This window comes from Homo sapiens, chromosome 13, assembly GCF_000001405.40.
Source record: "Homo sapiens chromosome 13, GRCh38.p14 Primary Assembly".
Lineage (NCBI taxonomy): Eukaryota > Metazoa > Chordata > Mammalia > Primates > Hominidae > Homo > Homo sapiens.
In genome coordinates, this window is record NC_000013.11 from 43,543,362 (window position 1) to 43,570,527 (window position 27,166).

Here is a 27,166-nt window from a genome sequence, read left to right on the forward strand (position 1 = left end):
CGGAATATACTGTATGTAATAGAGGTAACATTTCATGAAATATTTTGTTTCACATATAGATGAGTGTTATTGTGTGGGTATATGTAAATTTTTGTGTGTTGATTTATCATATAAAATGCTTTTCATATTACGGTTTGTAGTAAAAAATGAGTCACTGAACTAGAGTATTTAAGGTTCCCTGCCCCTGCTTCCCACAGTACAGGACTGTTATGTTAAAGACCTGATGTTCATTTTTTACTTGTGTTTTATGCCTTTAGAACAAAATAGTAAGTTTTTTCTTTATTTCTGTTACCCATAATGATGCAAAGAAAAAAAAACCCTTGCTTCTGACTTTTCAGAAATCCTGTCTTATTGTTCTCATTTCATGCCATGCATTGATTTCCTGTTAAATAGTTTTCAAATCTCAAGCCATACTAGATCACTGAGCTTTTAAAGATTATGAAAATCATCTTTCTCTTTTATCTCTTTTGTAGATGGTTTTTAAAACTGGCATGTGATGTGGCTTTATTTAAAAATACATTCCCATCTACATTATTGTCTTTTTTCTTTTTCTTTTTTTTTTTTTTTTTTTTGGATATGTAGTCTCACTCTGTCTCCCAGGCTGGAGTGCAGCAGCACGATCTTGGCTCATGGCAACCTCCGCCTCCAGGGTTCAAGCAATTCTCCTGCCTCAGCCTCCTAAGTAGCTGGGATTACAGGCATGAGTCACCACACCTGGCTAATGTTGGCCAGGCTAGTCTCAAACTGACCTCAAGTGATCTGCCTGCATTGGCCTCCCAAAGTGTTGGGATTACAGGCATGAGCCATCGCGCCCAGCCTAAGCTACTGTCTACCAGAAAAAAAAGTACACAGTGAATCAGAATCACTTTCTTGCTGTATAAACTTGGAAAGTTATTCATTCTCTCTGAGTGCCAGTTTCTTGGGCTGTAAATTAAAGCTAATATTATCTCCTTATCTAGATTGTTGTAAGGAGTGGAGATGATTCATGTTAAGTGCCTGACCAAAGTTAGGCACTCACTAAATGATATTTTGAATTATAATAAAATGAGAACCCAAGCACACAACTATTTCTTAGTAACCTCATATATAAGCAGGCCTCTTGTTGTCTACTGCCTTGAAGAGCCCATTTAATCTCCTCTCACCCCACCAAGGGCCAAAACATGGCCCGACACACAGTTGATGCTTGATAAAAGTTGACAGAATTGAATTAAGGGGCGGTGCTGTTGTGTTTTCCTGATAGAGTACACTTATTGCCAAAATAATTATAGAAATCAAGTTTTATGCCCAAATTAGCTCATTAATTTTAGGCTGGGAGCATAATCACAAGAGAACCGCCTATCTCCCAAATGATCCAACTACAAAGAGAACAAAAGTCAAGCTTCATCCAGTAAGCGTCACCTTACCTGGCAGAGGTTTAGCGCATCTCTCTGCTCTGGGAAGAAGCCAATAATTGAAAGCATCTGCTGGTCAAGACAAGCAGAACATTTAGGCTGAAGAGGGAGTGATATTTTTGCTTATCTTTAAAAGGAAAGAACGAGTTGATAAGAGAGAACAGTGGTTTTGCTCTGAAACCAGCCTGACAAACTATATTGAACACAGAGGTCCGTACTTATTTTCTTTCAAAAACTTCCTTTCTTCTGCTCCCATTTATACATAAACAACACATATCCCTAAACTCCATCCATTGTTTTATCCTCGAAATTCTTAGCCCCAATTGGCCTCACTGGCAGCACATGCTCTCCTGACCACACAGCTGCGTCCAAGGGAGGTAGGGGCACAACCTTCAATGGTATCTCTGCTATCTCAAAGGAATTTCAGATATCATTAAAACAATGTGTCTGCGCCTCTAAATAAAACAGGCCAGTCATGTTTCAGTAAACTGACAGTCTTCTCTAAAGGACCCCGAGGTGTACGAAGTTACTGAGTTTTCCCATCCTACCATCTTCAAAGTGATAAAGAAAATGCAATTGTTATGCAACTAGCCTTTCCAGCTGACCCTAGGGTGGCATTTGCTGTCTACTCTTAAACTACCTCACAAAAATCATCTTTTTGTAAAGATTCTTTGTTTCCTCTCTCATACATGCATAAGAGACCCCGGGGTGGAGGCAGTGTTAGGATGGGGAGGGATGGACCGGGCTCCTGGGAATGGCCTCCATCAGAGGCCTGGTCTGTGGGCCCCAGTCACCGTGAGGGGTCGGTGGGGAGTGTGGAGCTTCCCAGGATCCTGCCTCTCTCCCTGTTTTCTGCCAAGCAGCAGGAACACACAATTCATTAAAGCAAAGCCAAAGGTCATGGACTGAGAAATAGCAAGAAACTTCCAGGGACTTGTTGATTTTGGAAACTTAATGTCCACATTGTGTAACAGTGTGCATGTTCCCCAGGGGGAAGTAGATTGCTATTTATGTCAGAAAGATGTTTCAGAAGAAGATGTCTCCTCCAAGCAAATAGTATATGTCTAGTTGTTGGCATCTACTATCCTCTCTCCTCTTTTATTCAATAAAGTGATCCACCTTATCTGAGCTACACAGACCTCTGATAGGTGCAGGGGAGGATGTTGGAGGGGGTGCCATTTCGATAGGTTGGCATTTTCTCTGTAATGGCAGGAGGCAATAGAACTATTTGTTTATGTTTCAAACATAAAATAATGAATCAGCACTCGAACAAGTCTTGAAAGATAAAACGTTCAGTGTTAATTGAATCTCTATATTGTGCCAGATAATATTTAAGTGCTAGGAATACGGTGCTGAATAAGGTCCCTGCCCTCATAGACAGGTGTTCTAGTAGGAAGAGACAAAACAGACAAGCTAAAACAAATTTTCAAAGAGTGATAAGTGCTATGAAGATGGTTAAACATGGATAGAGACTGAATGGCTGTGGAGGGGGCAGATTTCAGCAGATTTAGGGAAGGCCTCTCAGATGAGTTGGCATTAAACCAAAAAGTAAAGGAAGAGAAAGAGCTGCCAAGCCCTATCAAGAGCATCCCAGGCAGCAGGAGCAAATGCCATGCAGTGATGTGGAGGACAGTTTGGCTGTGTGCCTGGAGCCTGGTCAACTACAGGCACGTGCATGAGAAGAGGTCACAGGGCAGAGCAGTAGGGCCAGACCCCACAGGAGCCTGGGGATGGTGGGAGGAGTTCCTATGTCACTCTAACTGTAAAGGGAAACACTGAGACTGCAATCAAATAAATCTCCTTTGCCGCCTCACTGTCGGAGCCCTGCTTACCACATCTGAAGGATCCATATCTTCCAGAGCTCTGCAGATTTTGACAGCAGAGATATGCTCCTCACACCCCCAGCTTCTGCTTTTTCATTATTTGTGACTATCAAAACAGAATTTTGATGACAAATTATTTATAAATAAACCAATCATTAAAATATGTAAGATCTCTCACCTATCACCATACATCTCACTTAACCATTCTCATGCATCCCAATGACTTGAACAAAAAGAAACAGAACCAGAAAATAGTCAAAACAGTACAATTTAATCTAAATTATCCTTCTCACAACATCACTGAGATTGACTTGCCAAGTCCTGTTCATTGTCAGATTGGATTCTCTGGAAGTGAGTGCCTTCTGCAAAGTATCTCAGACATGGATAACGCAGGCAGGACTAAACTGCTTTTCTTCCCATTTGAGTTGCCAATACCTCCCTCTGGGCCAATCGAGGATTATTGTTTCAACAATACATGCAAGCTAATTGTTTGTTAAGCCGGCCCAGCCAACCATAAAATCACAGGAGAGTCAGGCCTGGCCCATCCTCTTGCCTCTGAACTGGATCACAGTTAATATCTCTGAGAGTTCCACCCCAGGTTCACAGACCAACTGGGGAAGATGGCTCTTGAGCAAACTCTGAATTTTGTTTCCATGAAGAAAGGTTTCTCCAACATAATCAACTACAATCACAATTTTTGAAACATTCACATTCTTAAGTCTGTATCTGCTTTGGTTTCCTTAAATAAAAACAAGCCAGAGATAAAAGTATGGAAATAAAATAGTTTCAAACAGAGAGCCCTGTGGAAGAATGCACTAACTTAATATGTACTTCCAGATAAATGACAAGATACATGTATAAGAGAAGCAAACTTCTACAAACATTCATTAACAATGTGTGAAGATAAAAGTTATCTTTGATAGAAAAAGGTAACTGATAAAGACATCAAAGAGAAAGATCTGAAAGTGAACTTTCTACATACTCACCAGATAAAACATATAAAGGGGCAATTTTGGTTTGTTTTATTGTTGTAGGTCTAAAGGAATACTTTCATTTTCAGTAGTTTGTCAGCAAACAGCACAGGAAACTTTACTATTTGAAATGAGTAGTCTGAGTTAACAATAGTGACCAGATATTATAAAACCGTGTTCTGCCTAAATATATCCACAAATCTTCAGATGGCCTACAAACCCAATATTGAGGCTAAAAAAGACATGACCTCTTGAGAGGCTCTTCTAGAAAGTGGGACTCTCTGGTACTAGGGATATAGCACTGTGAACCCCAAAAGGGAGACAGCTCTGACCCCCAGTGCAATCAGGAAAGACAGATGCAAGCCCTAACTTAGTTTACAGGTTTGATGTCCCCACTGCTGTGGGCATTCCTGTCCAGAAACCCAAGTCCTCCCCAAGAGAGTGGCTAGAGAGTATATGCAAACACAATAAACCTTTCACAGAAAAACAATGACTTTCTATGACTAGAATTTGGCCAAAGGCTCTTCTTTTGAGTGTTAGTGATATAAAATTCTGCTCTAAAATAATAGTTTTAGAACTAAGCTTAAATTCCTGATTATTTGAACACATTAGAAAAAGAAAAGGAGTTTCTATTTCAGAAGGCATAGTTATTTGGAAACTGCCACAGTTTCTTTTTAAGTCAAAAATAACAAAATTTCATAAAAGCAAAACAACTAACATCCCTCTCCCTGACCCTCCAAAGAAACCTTTCTTAGAAGTATTCTAGTTCCACACAATAGAAACCAAATTCAATGTGGCTGAAGTAAAAACAGGGATGTACTGGCACACTTAATGGAAAGTTCAAGGGATAAAGCATTCAGGTATGGGTAGAACTAGGTGCTTAGACTATGAGGACCTTTCTCCATCTCTTAATTCTGCTGCCCTCTGCATTGGCTTCATTTTTAAGTAGGTTATCTTTAACTGGAGGCAAAATGACTATCAGGACTTCCAGATTTACGTTACATCATGCAGCAACCTCAGTTTTATAAAACACAACGAAACTTCTTCTGGGAGTTCAACAAATGTCTCAGGATTGGGTCTCCTTAATCTGGCTGGGTCCACATGCCATCCCTGTGGTCTGCTATTCCTGTGGTCTGAATGGCCAGCCCTGGTGGCCTATTCCTACAGATGTACCACTTGGATTCCATAAGCTAAGACGGGACGACCCAAGGTGCGGCTGGCAGGAAAGGAATACAGGCTGACAGATATCACTAATGGAATGTCCATGTCTCTCCCTCCACTTACCTGTTTCCTCCTCTTTCAATCAAAAGCCTATCAAAACTGGGTTCAGATATTACCTTCTGCAAAAGCGCTTCCCAAATTCCATGGAATTGTTTACTTGAAAATGGTTAATTTAAAAAAAACAACCAAAAAAAACCCTCTTCCTAGAGTCTCTCCTTTTGGTGTAAAGCCCTTTCTGATCCTCCCACAAACTCTGTTTCCCTCTAACACTGAATTTATTATACTTTTTGAAACTTTCTGTCCATATGTTTGTCTTAAGCATAATTTCCCAAAAGACATTTTATCCTTGCCATGTAGGAAAGTCTTTGGCACAAAATAGTAAAAATTTATGGAATTAGACTGTTGTTGTTGACAGAGACAGTTCTTCTCTCTCAGAGTGTATCAATCAGTCCACTGTAATATCAGTCACATTGAATTTATTCTGAAATATCAATGAAACAGTCTCTAGCAAAACTCCCACCTTTAATGTCTCTATCTTGTAAACAGAAATCTGAAAACTCAGCAACTGAGAAATGCATTTTTACCTAGTCAATAGAATTCAAACTCAGACAAGAATAGCAAAATAACAACTGCTAAAAGTACTTTAAAATAACTCATTAGGAAGCACAAGTCCCTCTATTCAACAAAAAAACGAGTAAAATAACTAATTCATCTCTAACTTCATTTATATTTTCAGTTCATCTTCTGACTTCACAAGAATGGAAGTTTTGTATTCTACTATGATCAATACCTCATGTAAAAATAGTTACGGCACAAAAATGCATGACTTTTCAGATGATGTTATTTTTAACATTGCTGAAATTTACCATTACTTAAAATATACTAACTGCATCAGTAGATTCTAGAGGATACTCCTCTGTATCTTGCAAATGTATATATGCTCTGAGCCTAATGCTCTTATGGCTCCTCCTCAGTGTCCAATGAAAATGAGGTAGATCCTAAAAGAACCCAGTTCCAACATGTCTGGTTTCAGAATTATCCACTTCAAGTTGAACTCCTGTGATCAAGGCCTTAAAAGCTGTACTGAATTCCACATTCAGGTCCCACTGGTTCAGGAGACACTAGTATCAAGGCTCTAAGACAGCGGCTGCCAATCTTTTTGGCACCAGGGACCAGTTTTGTGGATGACAATTTTTCCACAGATGGCAGCAGGGGGATGGTTTTGGGATGAAACTGTTCTACCTCAGATCATAAGGCATCAGAATCTCATAAGGAGTGTGCAACCTAGATCCCTCACAAGCACACTTCACAATAGGGCTCTCGCTTCTATGAGAATCTAATGCCTTCGGTGATCTGATAGGAGGTGGAGCTCAGGTGATAATGCTCACTCGCCTGCCTCTCACCTCCTGCTGTGCAGCCTTGTTCCTAACAGGCCACAAACTGGTATTGGTTTATGACCTGGGTGTTGGGGACCCCTGCTCTAGGGTGCAGGAAAAGGTGAACTAATATTAATAAAGGGAAGGTAAACTAATATGAGCTGTGTGAGGCATGGTGCTGGGTATCCTACACACAGTTGGAGCCCCACAATATGCTATTGCTCATTCAACACGGTGTCTTCCTCCAGTGTCCATCAGCAGTTGGGTGTCATACTGGAGGGACAATGGGCTGTGAGGACTTCCCAAGAGATGGTATAAGTAGGGAGAGAACCACATTTGCTGTTCTTTATGAGAAATTAGGCACATGTCAAGAATAGTTTTGCCTACACATCTTTCTCATCTTCTACTTGACTGCAGATAAGGTATATCCAATCCTTGCTTGAGATAAGATGTGACTGCACTGCTCAGTGCCTCAGCTATCACAAAAACTCTGAGAGGGTTAAATTATTACTGGCCCAATTTATAGGTGAGAAAACAGTGCCTCAAAGGGGTTAAGTAATTTTCCCATGATAATGTGCTCAAAAACTACAAAAACTCTCCTCCTTACAAAGTTTCTAAGACTTATCTTCAGGGTATGTGGACATAGCAAAGAAGTTGTACTTTGTATTGAGTTAAAGAATCAATCATCTCTAGCCAATGAGCCTTTTGTGACATTACGATAGCAATTTAGATCAGCAGTTTACGTTATTAAGGAAAGGAGTTCGTATTACAAAACATGCTGCTTCTTAACTGTTTAAGAGTTTAGACCATAAGTAACCCATATTTAGAGAGCAAAACCCTGGTGTCATTGTGCTTTTTCCCAGTAACATCTTTCAAATATTATCATATCCAAGAGACAAGTATTTTTTTTAAGTAATTTTGCATAACTCTTAAAAAGATACACAATCCTAAACTTAACTTCACTGGGATTTTTAAAATAAAATAAAAATTACAGATGCTGTTTCAAGATATGCTTTCTCAAATACTTTTCCAAGTATAGCATACCTAACACAGAACATAGTTTACATTTGTCCATGGTGAGGCTTCAAAATGGAGCAATTAGATCAAGTTCAGGGGATAATTTATTTTCTAAAAATTATGTGGCCTTTCTTTTTAATTCTATTTATGTGATGTATCACATCTATTGACTTGTATATGTTAAATGATCCCTGCATCCCTGGGATGAAACCAATTTGATCACGATGTATTATCTTTTTGAGGTGCTGTTGACTCAAAAGTTGTTGGAAGAAAAAATAATAATAAAGAGAGAAAAAAATGAAAATTATGCAGAATATTTCTGCTTCAGGAAACTACTGACCCATTTTTTATCTTTTAAGATAAAAACATTTTTATACACCAAAAACTTTTATCTTAAAAGGTACATTATAATTTAGTCAAATCTGATAGTCATGGGCTTCATAAGCTGCAACAACTGATTATTACATTTGATAATACGATGACTGAAAAGCAAAAGAACATTTGGTATCTTAATATCAATTTAAATTTCACCCGATCATGATGGCAAAATTGCCCACAAAGCTGTTCTAGCTGTTCCTTACACCTTTCCTCTTCTACAGCACACTCAGCCAGTGCAGGAGAGGATGGGCCCAGCACAATTGTGTCCACACACCACCTCAGACAAGATGAGGTTATTTTGACTTAAAGGGTATGTGGTAAGCTTAATGAAATGATTTAAATAATCTTTACGCAGGCCTTAATTTTTTTCCATTTGCTTCTTTAGTTTAGAAAACACTGGTTTTATGAGGAGCTGGGTTTCGTTCTCAGCTTCTCTGTATTTTAATGTCCTGCTGGCCTGACCTGGTCTCTACCTGATACCCTGATGTCTGAGTCATCTCCAACCTCTCCAGGAAGAAGCAGGGACCTTTCGCCCTGTCACTCTGAGAGGTTTCTGATCTCTTACCAACCCTCTTTGAGAGCCCTGACTTAAGAAAAAAAATGCTTGAAAATAAAACACCGAAGTATTCATTGACAGTTTCAACTTCATTGTGGGAGACATTCTCTGATGTCATGAAAGGAGCATGCCAGGGAGGCCACCCATCAATTGATTTTTGAAATTCCTAGAAGCCATAGAAAAGGGCTCACCTCTGCTCTAGGAGATAAACAGTACTTCATAAGATATTTATTAACCTAGAGGCTCTTAACTAAAAAAAAAAAAAAAAAGAAAACAATGCAGCCTTTTAGTATATTCCTAGAACCCTCCTCATTCCCCTTTCATTCCTTAGCTTATTCCCTCCCTTCTTCTTTCTCATTTACACAGAATCTTAGGGTCAGAAGAAACCTTGCTGGTTAAATAATTTAGCTCTTCTGGCTATACATTCTCCTCCCTTTTTATTTCTCTGCATCTCCATGTCCCAGCTTGCTTCTCCTCTCCTCTCTGCAACTGTTCTTCCCCCTCTCATTTGTTCTGAAATTGCTGCTGCCTACATGGTAGGCACTCCTGGGTATACACAGTAGGACCAAAATAAGCCTGACATGAATGGTTTTGCCTGGGTCATTAACTGAGGTCCAGGACTGACTACCCAAAAAGAACTACCTAACCTTGTAGTCCTCTGCCTGTCTTAATACATGAAGGTAAGACTAGGCAATCAGTTATTTGTTGAGCTAATGAATGAACAAATGATTGCTTATCCAAGCAAATAGCATATCATTTTCTGTTAAAGTGAAAATACAGCCCTAGGAGAATTAGGGAGGAGCTTCACTGGTCACAGATATCTTATTACCAATTAATTTAAGGATATTGCTCCTTCCTAATAGAAGTAGTCATGATAAAAAATGGGAGTTTGTAATAATATTGAAGAGGAAGAGGAGGTAATTTTGGAACCTGGGATATTCTGTATGGGGAAATATGGGGAGTGGAGATGGGGGTTGGGAAATCTGAGCAGTCAGAGGCAACCTAGAGACACCACCGGTACCTAAAGACAGGTGTTAGGAGGCACCAGAAGTTGGGAATGGCACACAAAAACGAAATACAGCAGCAAAATTCAACATGAATACTATTATTTAATGTAGGTTTAGGTAGCTATTGTCATAACACCAATTCATATGTGCTGAATTGGGAAATCTTGCATTGAGCAGTCAATAAATAATAACTAAAGTTAATAGTGAATGTAGGACCATCACCATTTTGCTACTTTACTTCTCAAAACAAAACAAACGAGAAAAAAAATGCTATCCCATAAGACAGACTGGGCTTGACACTTGGTTGCTCTGACAACGAAGGCCCAAAGAAAAAGTTCCTGTTTTACTGGTGTCAAAGTACTCACCGCTTCTTTAAAACTGGCTCACTTAAATATATCTGCCTTATCCCTTTTTGATGTCATTTGTACGATTCACTTTTGCTTTGGTTTCTGGTTTTGCAAATTGTTAGTTCCTGCAGATAATGACAAGTAGAGGGATTAAAGGAAGTGCAGGATAATGAACAAACAAAAAGCATGATATAAATCAGGCACACAGTGATGTTTACTTAAGGCTGATATGTTGGAGAACTGACTGTTGTTGTTCTCCATTCTAGTCCTAGAGTATTGTGAGAATAAAGTATCTTTCTTTCTTTCTTTCTCTTTAAAGAGGGAGTTTCACTTTTGTTGCCCAGGCTGGAGTGCAGCTGCGCGATCTCCGCTTACTGCAGCCTCTGCCTCCCAGGTTCAAGCGATTCTCCTGCTTCAGCCTCCCGAGCAGCTGGGGTTACAGGTGTGTTGTCACCACGCCCAGCTAATTTTTGTATTTTTAGTAGAGACGGGATTTTGCCATGTTAGTCAGGCTGGTCTCGAACACCTGAGTTCAAGTGATCCACACACCTTGGTCTCCCAAAGTGCTGGGATTACAGGCATGAGCCACTGCGCCTGGCTGAGAAATCACAAAGTATCTTTCTAAGTGCACTAATGCTACTTGGGGAAAACATAAATAATTACAGGTGGATCCTAGATAAGGAGACATTCCTTGTTACTTCCAAAAAAATTCCATAATCTTTGGAGATTCCAAAGAGATTTTCCATCCCTCCCGAATCATATGGAATGCGAAAGGCAGGTATACATGAGAATCCATGTACACATTGAATCAGAAGGAAAGACTATGGCAAAAATAGGGAGCCACATTAGGCACTTAACAGCAGTCTGGGCTAAAATCCTATTTCTGCCTACAGTTACCTTGAAAGGAATCCTTTGCTGCCCTTTATGTAAATGCAAGTGATTTAAAAACATAGTTAGATCTGTATAGTGCTATACAATTTACAAAGTACTTGGGCATTCATTATCTCCTTTGATTTTTGTAATTGTTTTGTATCTCCAGTTCCAAAATGAGAAAAGTGGTACCCAGAAGACTTGTGTAGCCAGTACAAAAACATGCAGTAACTGGTTTCAAAGCTAGGACTCCAATCAGGTTTTGTTTTTATTTTTGAGACAGGGTCTCACTCTGTCACCCAGGCTAGAGTGCAGTGGCACCATCTTGGTTCACTGCAGCCTTGACCTCCTGGGCACAAGCGATCCTCCCACCTCTGCCTTCTGAGTAGCTGGGACCACAGGTGCACACCACCACACTCAGCTAATTTTTGTATTGTTTGTAGAGACGGAGTTTCACCATGTTGCTCAGGAGTCTGGTCTCAAACTCCTGGGCTCAAGCAATCCATCTGCTTCAGCCTCTCAAAGTGCTGGGATTAAAAGTGTGAGCCACGGTGCCTGGCCCTAACCAGGTTTTTTGACCCCTAGCCCAATATTCTCTTAAACTCTTAAGCAATGTTTTCTTATTTTCAAAACTGAACTAATTATATCTTGGATGAGAATACTTTAAAGACATTCTAAAAATACAAAGTAGCTTTAAAAATAACAAAGTGATTCTTGCATTCTTATCCTGTCTATCTAAGAGCTCAAGTGTCAAATGATATCTTCCTTTCTATTGGTATCCCAAAATAGTAAATTATAAAAAAAATTGGGAACAACTTGCAAACCCGCTAATATCCCAAAGCTTTCATGAGTAAAAAGATGTTAGGATTAAGGAGAAGCTACAGAGGAAAAGTGCTATCAGAAAACATCACCTTAGCTGTGTCTTAACAATCACACAAAGACAACTAGCATCAGCCGTATATGTGTCCTCAACCATCTGTGTTCTCAACCCTTGCTTTTTTGCCTTGTAGCAAACTTTGCTAATTTCACAGTACTGTACGATACTTCTTGGTATTATGTGAAGTACTCTATTTAGACATGTTGACTTCACTAATTAGTCTATAAATACTTGACTTTTAGCCACTGCTTTGGTAAGTGAGATAATTGCTGAGGAAAGGCCAAAGCATTTACGGTCAATCAGATGAGGAAAAGGGGAATATGGTCTTTGAGCTGAGTAAAATGTAAAACATTATGTGGCAAGGCAGAAGCTATTAGCAGGATCAATATCTCTCCTAGTACCTTAATAAATCATCACATCAAAGCCCCGACAGAGGATGGAGAAAACCTCAGTCTACCTACATGGAAGCTTCCAAATTGGAAAATAAAATTCCATTTAAATTACAAAGACCCAATTCATGTACAATGGAAATGGCAAGCTACAAAACTAGTCTCCAAATCCTGGATGTGCTAAGAGTTTAGAATCATTAGTGAAGGGAGAAAAGCAGAAAGACAAAGAACACTGCTACTCTCTGGGTTGCACATTCATAATTCGCAAGTTGTAAATATGTATGAATCTGCCCACTGCAGCTAGGGATGACATACTGCTTTTTAGAGATAGCACAGAGCAGAGAAATCAAAGTAGAGGAAGGTTTGGCCATTATAACTTACCTCCTCCCACATTTAACAGTTCTCAATCTTCTCAAATCTCCCCTTACTTAAATTGCTGTCTTTTGGGGATGGCTTCCTAAAATGAAAAGAACTTCGATACCAATGAATGTTCAATGTATAGCAAAAAGCATCCCATGGTGAGCTCTCACTGTAACATGGGACGTAAATAATTGTATTTTTTCTAAATCTTTAATCGCTCCCATTCTCTTTGATGCTTCCAGGAAAACAAGCAAGCAACTAAAAGAAGTTACTAGGCTAACTTGCCCAGTTTTTTTTTTTTTAACTCTAGAACTAATTATTTCTCTTTTCTAATATGTAGTAAAAGACAAAAGAAACATTTTGCAGAGATTCATATTATAGAACATTAGGCTTTCCCTTAAGGATACGTATTTCCTCACTTACAGAGATGATAGTGAATACTGACACTATTTTGACTCCACCACAGCTTTTGCTTTGCAGTCATACTGTTTAATTAAAAATAGGTTTTTTTCTTATAAGCTCAAATTACTCTACTGTAGATCTCTCAAACTTCGTAGTAAGTTGAAGCTGAGAACTAAGAGGTCACATCAGGAAATTTATTTAGATAGGTCATAACTGGCAAATCAGCAACAAAAGAAAGCAGGGCTTCTCAACATCTTGAAACATTCATTCATGATTAATTATTTCTTTCATTCCACAATTATCTATTAGACACTTGAGTATCATGCTTGGGCTTGATGATAATTATATCAAAGAAAGTTCCCAGAAGGTTCTATTCTCAAAAAAAAAAAAAAAGTCTGACCATCTAAGTGGGTACATAAGTCACCCAATACTTAAAATGTTAGCTAACATTAGAAGATGTAAATTATATAAAAGCTGATTGTCACAAGTGCCATATATGGCTACGTGCCAAAGAAGGGCTACAGTAAACTTTTATAAAGAAACCTCTATTGGCAGGGATTACCAGGGAAGGGACTAGGGGAGAGGGTAAAAGACCTGAGCTACATAGAATTTGAATAAGTGAAAAAGAAAAGGACACATGCTTCAATCAGTAGGAAAAGCCTGGGCAAGCCAGTGCAGGCACACAGTGCAGTGCGAAGCAGGAGAGAGTTCACAGTGCAGATCAGTGGTAGGTCAGGACATTAGAGTCCCACCCCAACACGCAGGAAAGACAGTGGCTGGACTGCATATCTTAAGGTAGGAAAGTTTTTACTTCAGATGGGAGAAAAATAGAGAGTCAGGAGAATTCTGATACCATGTCCAAGTCCAAGACCATTTGGGGAGTCAAAACTGTACAGAAAGAAATATCTTCTCTAGAAGCAGCAGATTTCATGTATGGCCAGAAGGTGGTAGGGGTTTCCATAAAGCGGTCTGAGGCTATCAGGAAGCCTGTTTCTTATAGAAAAGGGGTTTCAGAAGACCCAGGGACAAGACACAATTTCAGGAAAGGGGCACTGGGAGGATGGTTCTTTTAGCAGAAACCTCCTCACAGGAACAGGGATGAGTGCCTAAGGGAGGAGCTCCTGCCTGGGAGAGGCAAGAAAGGCAGAAATGAGAAGCAGGGTGGCTCTGACTTATCTTCCTGGTCTAAATGGAACCTAGTGTCTTGCTGGTTCAGGAGCCTCATTCTGGCCTAGAAATAGCACCCCACTTCCACCTCACCAGCCAGGTTCCAACCGTATAAGTAGTTGAGCTGAAAACAGGAGATTCATTTTGTGTGGTGCATACCCATAGTTCCAGCTACTCAGGAGGCTGAGGCAGGAGGATCATTTGAGCCCAGGCATTCGAGGTTGCAGTGAGCTATGATCATGCCACTGCCCTTCAGACTGGGTGACACAGTGAGATCTTGTCTCTAACAGAAGTTTTAAATTTTTAAAAAATTCATTTTGTGGTTGTAAGTACAAAAAAAACCTCAATAATGATGAGAAAAAAGATATACGAAGATTTGTTGGTTAGGAGATCATAGCTGATAGGGTGTGTACTACTTACTACAACTGCTATTCTCCCACACTCACACTATCTCCTGTCTTAAGAAGTTTAAGCAAATCTAGGCCCAGTGTCCCACTGAGGGAAATCACAAGAGGACTTAGAGGGGTCCCATCCATGAGAGCTGCACCATGAGTACATGCTACTTGGAAGGCTGCTTCTGTGGTCATTCTGAGAGCTGGGAAACCAACCTGGTGCTGAGCTGTCCAGAAGGCAGCATCTGCTGATTCTGGTACCACTGGGAAGAACAGGACACATCTTTACTAGGGAACCAGCTGCTAGTCAACAGCTGCCCCTTCTGCTCCCCAATAAGCACCTTTCTGATTACTGTCAGTTTTTCAGCAGAAAGGCCATCAGCTGTTGTGTTAATGATGGGGCTTCACTGGTTGGAAGAATTTTGCAGTCTCCAGTCTGAACTATTCCTCTGGGTGTCCTTATTCAAGCAGCAGTTAATTTGAAAACAATTAGCTGGTTGTTCACTTCCTTAAGGCAAAGCAATACTGGATGGGCTACCAGGTTGGACTAAGATTCCAGCAGAACACTCTGAAGGAGCCAGGATATTTCTAGGATGGGTCTGCTTTGTGTTGGCTTCAGGAAAAGTCTAGCATTTCTAACCCTGATCATTGGGAATTAGTCACTATTTCCCTTAGTTGCTCTGGCAGGCTTTCATTTATTTTTGCCTGGGTGACAAGGAGACACTTCTACATTTCAACATTAAACAGACTGGACGATTCATTTGTTTTCTTCTTTTTTTCACTCTTCCAGGTAAAGGGAAAATGGATCCTTATGGTGAATTATAGATGAGAAATCAATGAAAGATACAGAGACTAAAGAGAAGTAGAGTTTTATAAAAAGCAACTGGATTTGTTTTATAAAGTAGCAGATTTCCTTTTACAGGCTGGCCAACATAATCTTTGGGACTGAAATATCTTTCTGATAAGAGTATGTATTTTCTGTCACTGAATCCTCTACTTATATCCCCTGCCACACTTCATCCTGTTAATGAGGACAAAACAATATGAGGAAAGTTTTTCTGTTTTCCTCAGTCTCCCAATTCCTCACCTCTCTTCTCTGCAAACCACTCGGCTTCCATAACAAAAAGGATGACACAAACAGAGTAAAAATATGTTACCAGAGACTTTCTCAGTTCATGGCAATATTCAGTCAGCTAAATCTGGCAAACTCATACACATCTGGCCTGCTGGCAAGTCTGACTAGAATTCAGCTGTGCCTGTACAAGGAAGCAGGGGAACAGCATTTAGAGTTAGACAGCCCTATGGCCTGCTGAATCCTCAAATATGCAAGGGGCTTATTCACAAAATGCTTCACAAAAAATGGCTCCTCCAAACACATGCATACTTATTTGATGTTTTTATACTTTTTTCTTTTCAGTGCTAAGCCATCTTCTTTAGTTAGAACTATTTTTATCCTTTGTCACTTTATAAACTGCAATGGAATTCAGTATTCCATGTACAACCTTAATTTTCTGTATGACATGGAAAACAATATGGGAATCAGAGGGACTTAAAACTAAGTCTATGGAGCCCAATTCCCAAATTGCAGATTTAGGTCTTACTGTCTCTCAGGCAGATTAGATGACTTCTGAAAAGAAATACTTATTTAAATATGCTTATTTTATTGTTATTGAGGTATGCATAAATTATCCCGTTATAGCTATCCAAAACTGTGAACAACAGAACAAGACCCCAAACTGCAGAGAATATATCAACTCAGTTGCAAAAGATAAGACAGTAGGAAAGGTGCCATACAGAACAATATTGGGAGTTAGCATCATGAAGAAGGTTAGCAAGATGTGTTTATAATACAACTTTCATTCCAACAGAAATTATAACATGCTAAGAGCATGGACCTCGAGGAAAAAATATCTATTTTGGTGGGCTAAGTAACTTTTGGAAAAGACTAAAACACAAACTCCTTTAGTAAAATGCTTTAATATACTCTAGGCCTTTTCTTTAAAAGTAAGGTATGATTAAACTAAAACTTTCAAGTAGTTCAATGAACTAAGCAAGAACTGTTGGCTTCCCTCCAACCATAGTCCCACTTGCTAGAGATAATAACCATAAAAGTTTCATGTGCAGCCCACACATAAACAAGCATATACAGCTGCATATTTACACACGTGTGTATTTGCTGGTACAGGCCTAAAATATGGAAACATTTGCTATTTTATTAAAAAGTGCTCATACCATATATAATATTCATGCAACATTGTTCTGTATCATTGACATAGATGGGTTTGTTCTTTTTAATGGCTATTTTATGTACTATTGAACAGGTATGCTATAATACCTATATTCCTATTGGTATGCTTTTAGGTTACTTCTGAGTTTTAACAATTAAAAAATACGCAATATGTCTTCTTACAATTATAACTTTCTAACTTGTATAGATAGAACTAAAACTTCTCCAAAAATTATTATTCCAAGCTACACTCCTTCCAACAGAGTAACAATTTCTCACCACCACTAGATAGCATCAACTGTTTAAATTGTGTCCAATGGACAACTGAAAAATACTCTCTTATTTTAATTTTTGCCATCATTAATGAGGCCATCTTTGCTTGGCTGTTATATTTTTCTTTGAATAGCCCATTCATATTCTCTATTTGTTTTCTTCCACTGAGTTGTTACTTTTTACTAATTGAGTCCCTTGTTTCACAGAGAAATTAGCCCATCATCTGTCATGTGTACTGCAAATATAATTCCTAATTTTTCATTTGTCTATTGGCTTTGGTTTTGTTTTGGAATGAGGAGACAGTCTTCTAGAAAATAAGACATATTAAATAATATATTGGTAATTGTAAAGCACAGATTGTATGGCGCCAGCCATCATGTGCTTTGTTCAGGTGTCATGCTTATCTTAGGTAACAAGGTCACCAGGATTAATTAGTGAAAATCCTGCTGAGTTTCAGATCATCTCAGTGGCCCTCTATAAAGTGTTCTCACTCACCTGGCAGCCTCCTTTCTTAATCTCAGTTGGAATCTCAACCACAAAGTGGTTGCTCCTTGTATCTAGAAGTCATTTAAAAGACAGTAATCAAAATTTCTGTTCTCTTTTATTTGTTCCTCTGCTTCCCTATCAATAATTCTGGGAGGAGTGGGAGAGAGAACAGTGCGTAATCAAAAGGCAGACCTAGCAAATTATTATTTTATTGATAAAATAATTCAGCAAATTCTCAATATTCCTGCTTCACAGTGATTACCCTAGATTTTATATTTTAGGGTTTTGCACCTACCTCTTATCATCACCCCACTAACTAGAGTGTAGTCTGTGTAGGACACCGATTAGACTCACCCCTGGTTTGGCAGGCAAAGAATGCCAAGGCAAAAGCACAGCCGACAAAGCTCCCTGTACTTGTGCAGATAGAGAGGCAGAGTATACCCCGGAGCTGAGCTGCAAGGTACAAATCCTGACCCTCCTACTTGATAACTGTGTTACTCGGAGTCAGTTAACCTCTCAGAGCCTCAGATTCCTAATACATATGATGCATATAGGAACAGTGCCATCAGAATAAGAAGAGCAGCTACATCACAGGACTGCTATAGGGTGAATGGAGTTATGATGTAAAGTAGTGCCTGGGATACACATAGCACATTTTAAGTAAATGTGGCATATCAATATAGTAATTACATATAGCACAATAGAAAAGTTAGAGTGTGATGAAATCCAATAGGCTTTACAAAAATCAAGTAAGTATTAGTACTACATAACCACAGAAAAGGGAGGCCCAAAGGAACAGTCAAGAAATGCAGCAAGGGCCAGGCACAGTGGCTCATGCCTGTAATTCCAACACTTTGAGAGGCTGAGGCGTGTGAGCCCAGGAGTTCAAGACCAGCTTGGGCTACATGGTGAAATCCCGTCTCTACAAAAATACAAAAATTAGCCAGGCGTGATGGTGTACATCTATAGTACCAGGTACTTGGGACACTGAGGTGAAAGGATCACTGGCTGAGGCTGCAGTAAGCCATAATAACACCGCTGCACTCCATCCTGGACAACAGAATGAGACCCTGTCAAAAAAAAGGAAGGAAGGAAGAGAGAGAGGGAGGGAGGGAGGGAGGGAGGGAAGGATGGAGAGAGGGAAATGCAGCAAGGAGAAGAGATGGGGAGCAACATGGCCAAATAGAAGCCTCCACCACTCATCTTCCTCATAGGAACACCATATCTTGAGTAGAAAGATGAAAAAATGAACCAATGCAAAATAATAGTTATAACAACTTTTCAAGATATAGACAGTACAATAACATATAAATAGAAACAATAAAAAGTTAAAAAGTTGGGGAATGAAGTTTAAAGTGTAGAGTTTTTTAATACTCTTCTCTTTATTAGTTTGTTTATGCAATTAGTGTAAGTTGTCATCAATTTAAAATAATGGGTTATAAGATATTTACAAGCCACATGGTAACCTCAAATAAAAAAATACAATAGATACATAAAAATTAAAAAGCAAGAAATCAAAATATACCACCAGAAAAAAATCGCCTTCATTAAAAGGAAGACAGGAAAGAAGGAAGAGAAGACCACAGAACAACCAGAAAACAAATAACAAAATGGCAGCAGTAAGTCCTTACTTACCAATAATAACACTGAATGTAAATGAACTAACCTCTACAACCAAAAGGCACAGAGTGGCTGAACAGATAAAACAAAACTAAACTAAACAAAAAACAAGCCCCAATGATCCACTGCCTGCAAGAAACATGCTCCACCTATAAAGACACACATAGATTGAAAATAAAGAACTGGAAAGATACTCCATGCCCATGGAATCCAAAAAAAGAACAGGAGTGGCTATGCTGGTACCAGACAAAACAGATTTCAAGACAAAACCTATAAATGGAGACAAAGAACTTCATTATATAATAATCTATGGGTCAATTCAGCAAGAGGATATAACAATTTTAAATATAACAGTGGAGCACCCAAATATAGAAAGCAAATGTTACTAGAGCTAAAGAGAGAGACAGACCACAATACAATAATCACTGGAGACTTCAACACCCCACTTTCAGCATTAGACAGATCATCAAGACAGAAAATCAACAAAGAAACATCAGATTTAATCTGCACTATAGACTAAATGGACCTCATAGATAATTCCAGAACGTTTTGTCCAATGGCTGCAAAATATACACTCTTCTCCTCAGCACATGGATCATTCTCAAAGACAGACCATATGGTAAGCCACAAAACAAGTCTGGAAATTTTTTAAAAAAAATAAAATCACATCAAGTATCTTATCTGACCACAGTGGAACAAAACTAGAAACCAAACAACAAGAGGAATTTTGGAAAGTATACAAACACATGGAAATTAAATTATATGCTTCTGAATAACTAGTGGGTCAATGAAATGATTAAGAAGGAAATTGAACAATTTCTTGAAACAAATGATAATAGAAACACAACATTCCAAAACCTATGGGTTACAGAGAAAACAGTTAGAAAAGGGAAGTTTATAGCTACACTATAAAAGAAGAAAAACTTCAAAGAAACAACCTAGCAATGCATCTTAGTTAACTAGAAAAGGAAGAACAAACCTAACACAAAATTAGTAGAAGAGAATAAATAATAGAGACCAGAGCAGAAGTAAATGAAATTAAAATGAAGACAATACAAATGACTGATGAAATGAAAAGTTGGTTTTTCGAAAAGTTAAACAAAATTGACAAACCTTTACCTAGATTAATTGAGAAAAACAGGGAAAGACCCAGATAAATAAAAACAGATGAAAAAGGAGGCAAAGGACTGTTAGAGGCTACTATGAGCCACTGTATGCCAATACATTGGGAAACTTAAAAGAAATGGATAAAGACACATACAGTCTACCAATATTGAACCATGAAGAAATCCAAAACCTCAAAAGACAATCAGCAAGTAATGAGAATGGAGCCATAATAAAAGGTCTCGCAGTAAAGAAAAGCCCAGGACCTGAGGGCTTCACCGCTGAATTCTCCCAAACATTTAAAGAAGCATATCACTTCTATTTAAATTATTCTGGAAAAAAAAAGGAGGAAGGAATACTTCCAAACTGAGGAAGGAATACTTCCAAACTCATTCTACAATGCCAGTATTACCCTAATACCAAAACCAGACAAAGACTCATTAAAAAATAAAATAAAAAACTACAGACCAATATCCCTGATGAATATTGATGCAAAAACCCTTAACAAAATGCCAGCAAAATGAATTCAGAAGTGAAAGATCTCTACAATGAAAACTATAAATCATTAATGAAATTGAAGAGGTCTCAAAAAATGAAAAGATATTCCATGTTTATGGATTAGAAGAATTAATATTGTTAAAATATCCATACTACGCAAAGCATTCTACAGAGTCAATACAATCCCTTTCAAAATGCCAATTACATTCTTCACAGAAATAGAAAAAAAATCCTAAAATTTATATGTATCAAAATATCTCATGTGCCCCATAAATATATACACTATGTACATACAAAAATTCAAAATAAAAAACTATAATAAACAGAAAAGAAAAAAGAAATGCAATGAGGAATAGACGGAATTTGAGGAGGAGGCCTAAAATAAACAAAATCAAGTATTGTGTGTATTCTAAAAGAGGAGAAGAGCCTTACAAAAACACTTACCTCAGGGACAATGAATAAACTAGTGGGAGTGCAGTGAAAGGCTGTGACTGGATAGTAGGAGAGGATTACTTTAAAAATGCAGATTGCCAACATCTCAAACTCTGTTTATTTAAATGAAAATGTTTACTTATTCTTTGCTCTCAATTAATAAACTGAATCAGCTATTATCAGAGTAGTATTTCAAATGTGAATCTTTAGAGCAAATAATTTTAAAAAAGAAACACCTTTCCCACAGAAATACTGATGTCCAGGATGGAGGGCTTTCCAGGCTGGTCCCTGCAGCCCCTGACTACAAATGGGAAGGCAGAGTAATGATATTGTACTATCATCAGTCCCATTCATTCCTTCACTCAGTAAGCATCTGCTGAATGCCTACCACCAGTCCATCACTCTCTTAAAAAAGAAGTGGTAGTGGTGAACAAAGAGAAACAAGGTCTCTACTCTCGTGAGGCTTCTACTTTAGGGTGGGGAAGGGGAGAAGCAATGGATACAGAGCATAAAAATAAACAGATGAGTAAGATTAAGATTACTTGAGACAGTGGAAAGAGCAATAAAGCAAATCAAAGCAGGTGCTGTCATGGGGTGGAAGGCCCCTCTGAGGAAGTGATATCTGAGTTGACAGCTGAATGATGAAGCAGAAGATAAGTACCAGGAAGTCCCTGGCAGAGGGAACAGCAAGAACAAAGACATTATGGCTGGAAAGAGCTTGATGTGTTCACAGAACAAAAGAAAGGGCAGTGAGGCTGGAGTCAAGTGCCAGAGTCCTAAGCAAAAAGTAATTGTGAAGTCCAACTTTGAACGTCAAGCACACATTTCTCCCTTCGTTCTGTTGACTGCCAGAGCTTTAGCAGCTCCTCAGCTCTGGACACAAAATGCATGGTGTTGAGCTCCTCAGAAGCTCCAGTGGCCTGGGGTTCTCTCTCATGGATCCAGGAGGAAGCCTTGGGATCAAGAGCCTGATGTGAGGAAAGGGAAAGGACTAGGGGAGGGAAGGATAACCAGGGTGGTCACAGCTCCAGTACCCACAAAGACGCTCTTTAGAAAGTAGGGGATTTCAATCCATTTGGGAGAATTTCAGTTAAGTTTAGTTAATTTTTTAGATAAGGAAAGATTCTTGCCTTTTGTTTCCTTAGTTTGTCTGTGAGCTTCCAAATTAGCAGTTTGGACAAAATCAGGAACAGCAGGAAATCCAAGGGTGAGCTATGTATAAATCAAGACCAGGAAAACTAGGACAGTTGCTGGTGCATCACTAACCTTTTAAGATTTATGTTAAAAAACAAGCAAGCAAAAACCCCACCATGCCATCCTAGTAAACATCCCTTAGGATCATTCTGAAAAACAAAACAGATCCACTGATGGATAGAAAATGAATCTCACTGGTTATGGCAGTTTTTAACGAGATTTTTCTATTTGTTTGGCCTAATTTTTAAATTCTTGATCCTCGTAATCACCATGTGGGTTGCAGTAGCAAAATAACTTGTGACTGATGATAATTAAGAAAAGGAAATTTAAGAAATGCATGTTTTCCTGAGCCAAGTTTCAACTAAATGTTTTTGCTACTAAAATTATGCTTTCTTACACAAATGTTGAATATAAGTAAGTTGCTCTGGGGATGTTAGTGTTTACATTTTTTCCCATTTGTTATTTATTAGCATGAATTAATATGCCAGTTTGTATTTGACACAAGATTTTTTTTAATTCTTGCAATAATAAGACTACATTTCTCTATGCAGTCATATTGCTTTCTTGAAAAGGATGATTATCTCACAGTCAATGAACTTGGTGACAAATTATAGGTATTTTGATATTGCAGGTATAGTAATTTTAATGCAACCCATCAATGCATAGATCAATGAATTTTATATTTATTATATGATATATATTCTACTGTACTAGTATTTCTAAGGAAGATGAACACCCAGGACAAATAAATATATTTTATTTCTGAGTTTGGAATATACAAATTGTTATTTTCAGTGGCAATAGCATGTCTATCTTCTGTTGGAATGTTATTTTAAAAAATACTTCTATCTGCAGCAATACAGAAGGAACACTGGTTATTTGGGAGATAATTATTTCTGAAAAAAATAGAGCAAAGACTAAAAGCTAAGAACTTTGAGTTATTTGTACTAAATGTTATCTAGTATCATTTGAGAGATGAATGATTGTAAGATATTGTCTCCACGCTCAGAAGAGAAGGTATAGATCTTCGAAAAATTTAATAATTTACTGAATTATATTCTAAATAAGTTTAAATGTTCACACATGTGAAAATGCTTTGTGAATTAAAAGCTACCACAAAATTTAAGGGCATGCCATTATTATTTTCGGAGTTAGTTTATCATGGCAATTCTTATAGCTAAAGCCCCATCAATTCTTCTTTTTTCAGTGACCAGGTCCAGATCATCAAAATAAGAATGAGCAGAACAATGAGCCCTCCCAGAGGAAGAGACAGCCAACAGAAAATGTTATTCCATCCAAGAAATCAATTTGTTTATTCATAATTTGAACAAAGTATTTCCATGCCAATTACTGATTGGTCTCTCCAAGGTCTTTTTGTTTTTTAACTCACCATAACAGATGGAGGAAAATATATATACAACTAAAACCTGATAGCATAATTAGTGGACTGGAAGTTGGGGTAAAAACCACATAACCAAATCCTTAACAGGAAGGTCAATATCAAGACATATTCATTATACTTTGAATGGTTATCAAAATACATGTGTTAGTGCAAATCAGTACCATGTGCTTTTTCCCTGTCAGTATTTGTTTTTTATCTAATTTACCTATATTATTATTTTTAAAATGTGATCTTCAGCCCAGTGAGTTCTATCACTCTCCTCTTTATCTAGTCCTCTTATAATAATTTTCAATGTTTAATATGCTTTAAAATGGGACAAATCATATCCAGGAAATAAACTGTTTACCAAGAGGAACTTTGTTAAAAAAAGATAAACTGGCTGAAATGATTAACTGTAAAAGTTCATTTCATCCCTGTCTACATGTGGCTTGATAATTAATTAATCTTATATTTATGAAAAATAGGGGAAAGAGAATCATAAATGTTCATAATTTAGAGGAAAGGAACCGAGACACAGAGAGGTGAGTACCTTGCAGATGAGGGATCAGTGCTTAATCTACATGTCTACTCTGTTCCCACAGTCTGCAAGGAAGAGAAACAGAATTTATAAAGTAGATTTGTAAATCCTGATAACATGAGTCAGGATATGATTATGTAACTTCAAATATCTTTGCATTTAACAAGCTAGAAACCCAGAGCTTGATATTTGTTGAATTGCATACATGCCTTTTCCTGGTTTCTTGTTTACAATAAATTTTGTGGCAGGATATTTAGATTTGTGAATTCTAGCCAGACTGCTCTCTAATGAGACTACAGCTTGTTTGGGTTTTAAAGCTTTATGACATTTATAGATGTTTACTTTGCATCTCTAAAAAACACAGAAATGCTCCCATACTATAAAAATACTGATCTCTAAACTTTCAAAGCATAATGCAAAAAATCCCTAGGTGACGAACCTTTGTGATAGAGTAATACTTTTTTCAATTCTTTGACAAGTGGCACTATTATTTATAAACTTGAGTTACACAGGATAGTATATAACTACAGCAACAATATTTTGATAAAAGGTGTCAGATAAATGCTTTGCCTGAAAAGGCTAATCCAGAAAACTTTTTTCCCCTTCCTCTTGCATGAAACCTCTTAAGCAGTTGACAGGCACGAGACACATTGCCCACAGAGAGTGGCACACACTGAGAACACACAGTATCTGACTTAAAATTCCAGCTTTTGCCAAAGAAGAGTTGTCTTCAGCAGCCGTGTCAGGGTGCCCCGGGAAAAAAGACAGAGACTCCTCTGGTCTTTTCTGTCATTAAGTGTGAGAAAATAATACTTTAACCAACTAGTGTGGAGGTGATTACCTCCTCCAAGAAACATTTTGATAAACTGGCCCACTCCACTTGAGCTTCTAGGGGTTAAGCCAGATCACAAGCTGAGAGGAGGGAGAGCAATGCAAATAAGAAATAACCCAAAATGAGGCATCCCTAGCACAGTTACCAATTCTAGCTTCAGCCTTTCTTTTATCTAGAGCGGGTCCTACAACTCCAGAGTTTTTTTTTTTTTCTGGGTCTGCCAAAATTCAAGTTCCTACACTAATTTGTTGATTTGGGTCTATTAGTATAATTATTATTTTCATCCCCACATTTGAAACTCATTCTATGAGACTAAACAGAAGAAGGCAAATGGATTTCATTTCAAAAGCCAATTTTTATCTATTACTAGTGGCTGTCTTTGGGGTCTGATTTGAGCAGAATTCTGAGGCTGAGCATGGTGAGAAAGTACAACTTAATGATTTCATGATATCTGCTAGCTACGGGGATAGGGTCAGATCCCCAGGGCTTGCAGCATGTGTAGGTAATCAAAAAAATGTTTGTTGAATCTTTGGTTTTATGCAAAATGGCTGAGGTCTCTTTGGAAAAGAAGCTTTAAAAACAAAAGTAATAGAAAATCAATGGCTGTATACCCTTAGATAGAAATGCAGCCATCCGCTCACTTACCTTTTATCTGAAATACTTCAATAGCCCTTCCTCACCTCTTTCCAAGCTATACTGATATAAAAATGACCTTTCTAAATTGGATCATGGTTGCTTTTTCCATCCCTGGTTCCTTATTCTCATAAGGCTCTCTTAGGAAGCATATCACATAAGCATATAAAGATCACCTAGGGCAGACAGATAGATAGATAAATTAGACAGAGAGGTGAATGGATGGTAGGTAGGTAGGTAAGTAGAGATAGATAGATAGAACTAGGGCACTTTCATTAATCAATTTGCTGGTTATTCTCTGCATTCTGTTCCCTTGCATCAATACCTCAGACTCTTTGCTATGGCTCAGAGACCTATGTTCTCTTCTTGAAACCTTTGACTTCATTGTAGCTCACAGATTAAGATAAAAGAGACTCCCAGTGACACTCTCAGAAGAGGAAGGGTCCCCTGGCATTACTGCATGAAGAGGCAGATTGAGACGACAACTCATCCTTTATTAGAATCTTTTCCTTAGAATATAAAGGGCAAGCTCCTTAGTGGTTTAAAAAAAAAACTGTATTTCTCCATCTGGTCCCTGCTGTTTTGCTCAGCTTCATACAACCAATCATCATTCTCCAACAATGAGCCTTTTAAAGCTCCTTAACTACACCACGATGTTTCTAAAGTTCTGCTTCTCTTCACTGGTGTTTTTGCTTTTTTGTCTGCTTGACAAACTCTGACTTGGTTTTGAAAACCCAGTTCATAATCATCCCACACCACACCCTGGAAAAAGTTAATCATTCCCTTCTCTGGGTTAGCTCTGCACTGTTCCCATAAATATTTCTATAGTTGCACGAATCAGGTGCTTTGTTAGTTTAAATTAGTATCTGTGAACTGGTTGAGAGCAGGAACTTTGTCTTAATTTTCTGTTTTCTTAGCACCCAGCATAGTTTAGGACACATTCAATATAACTGAGGATACCTTTAAGATTTTCCATTAGGGAGAAAAAGGGAATAGTGATAATATTATCCAAGAAAGGAAAATGAAAAACAGGAGCAGACTGCATTGTGAGATGCCATTTGTTTCATTTGGAGATAGTCACGTTTCAAAGTCCCAGTTAGATGTACCACAGAAGAAATTAGAGGGTTTGGGAAATCTGGGCTTAGAGTTAGGAAAGGGGTTTGGAGCTGAAGATGGTCATCTGAGAGTCAGCAACACATAGGCAGTAGCGGAAGCCATAGATGCACATAGAAATGAAAAACTAGAAAAAGTGGCAAGAACCCTGTAGTTCACTAAAAATTTGGCCCCAAATTTAGGAGCCAATGAAGAACATGTGGATAGATGAAGACTGGGAAGAATGATAAGGAAGAACCTGGAGGACCTCAGAGGCCAAGGACATTAAAATTTCAAATAAGAAGGGGTATC

At 38.2% G+C, this 27,166-nt stretch overlaps 1 protein-coding gene across 30 annotated transcripts in view; it reads right to left on the bottom strand.

The window, feature by feature from the left end:
- The window catches only part of ENOX1 (ecto-NOX disulfide-thiol exchanger 1), a 573,843-nt gene that overhangs the window by 330,232 nt on the left and 216,445 nt on the right, over positions 1-27,166 (bottom strand). For 7 of the 30 annotated variants that reach the window (XR_007063686.1, XM_047430421.1, XM_047430417.1 and 4 more), the window contains 2 exons: positions 12,605-12,680; positions 10,106-10,212 (listed from right to left, as the gene is read on the bottom strand). The exons of 17 other annotated variants lie outside the window; for them this stretch is intronic. The gene's annotated coding sequence lies outside the window, so the exon portion shown is untranslated. The remainder of the gene's footprint in view (positions 1-10,105; positions 10,213-12,604; positions 12,681-27,166) is intronic. 6 more of the 30 variants (XM_047430426.1, XM_011535127.4, XM_024449373.2 and 3 more) reach the window with 1 other exon arrangement.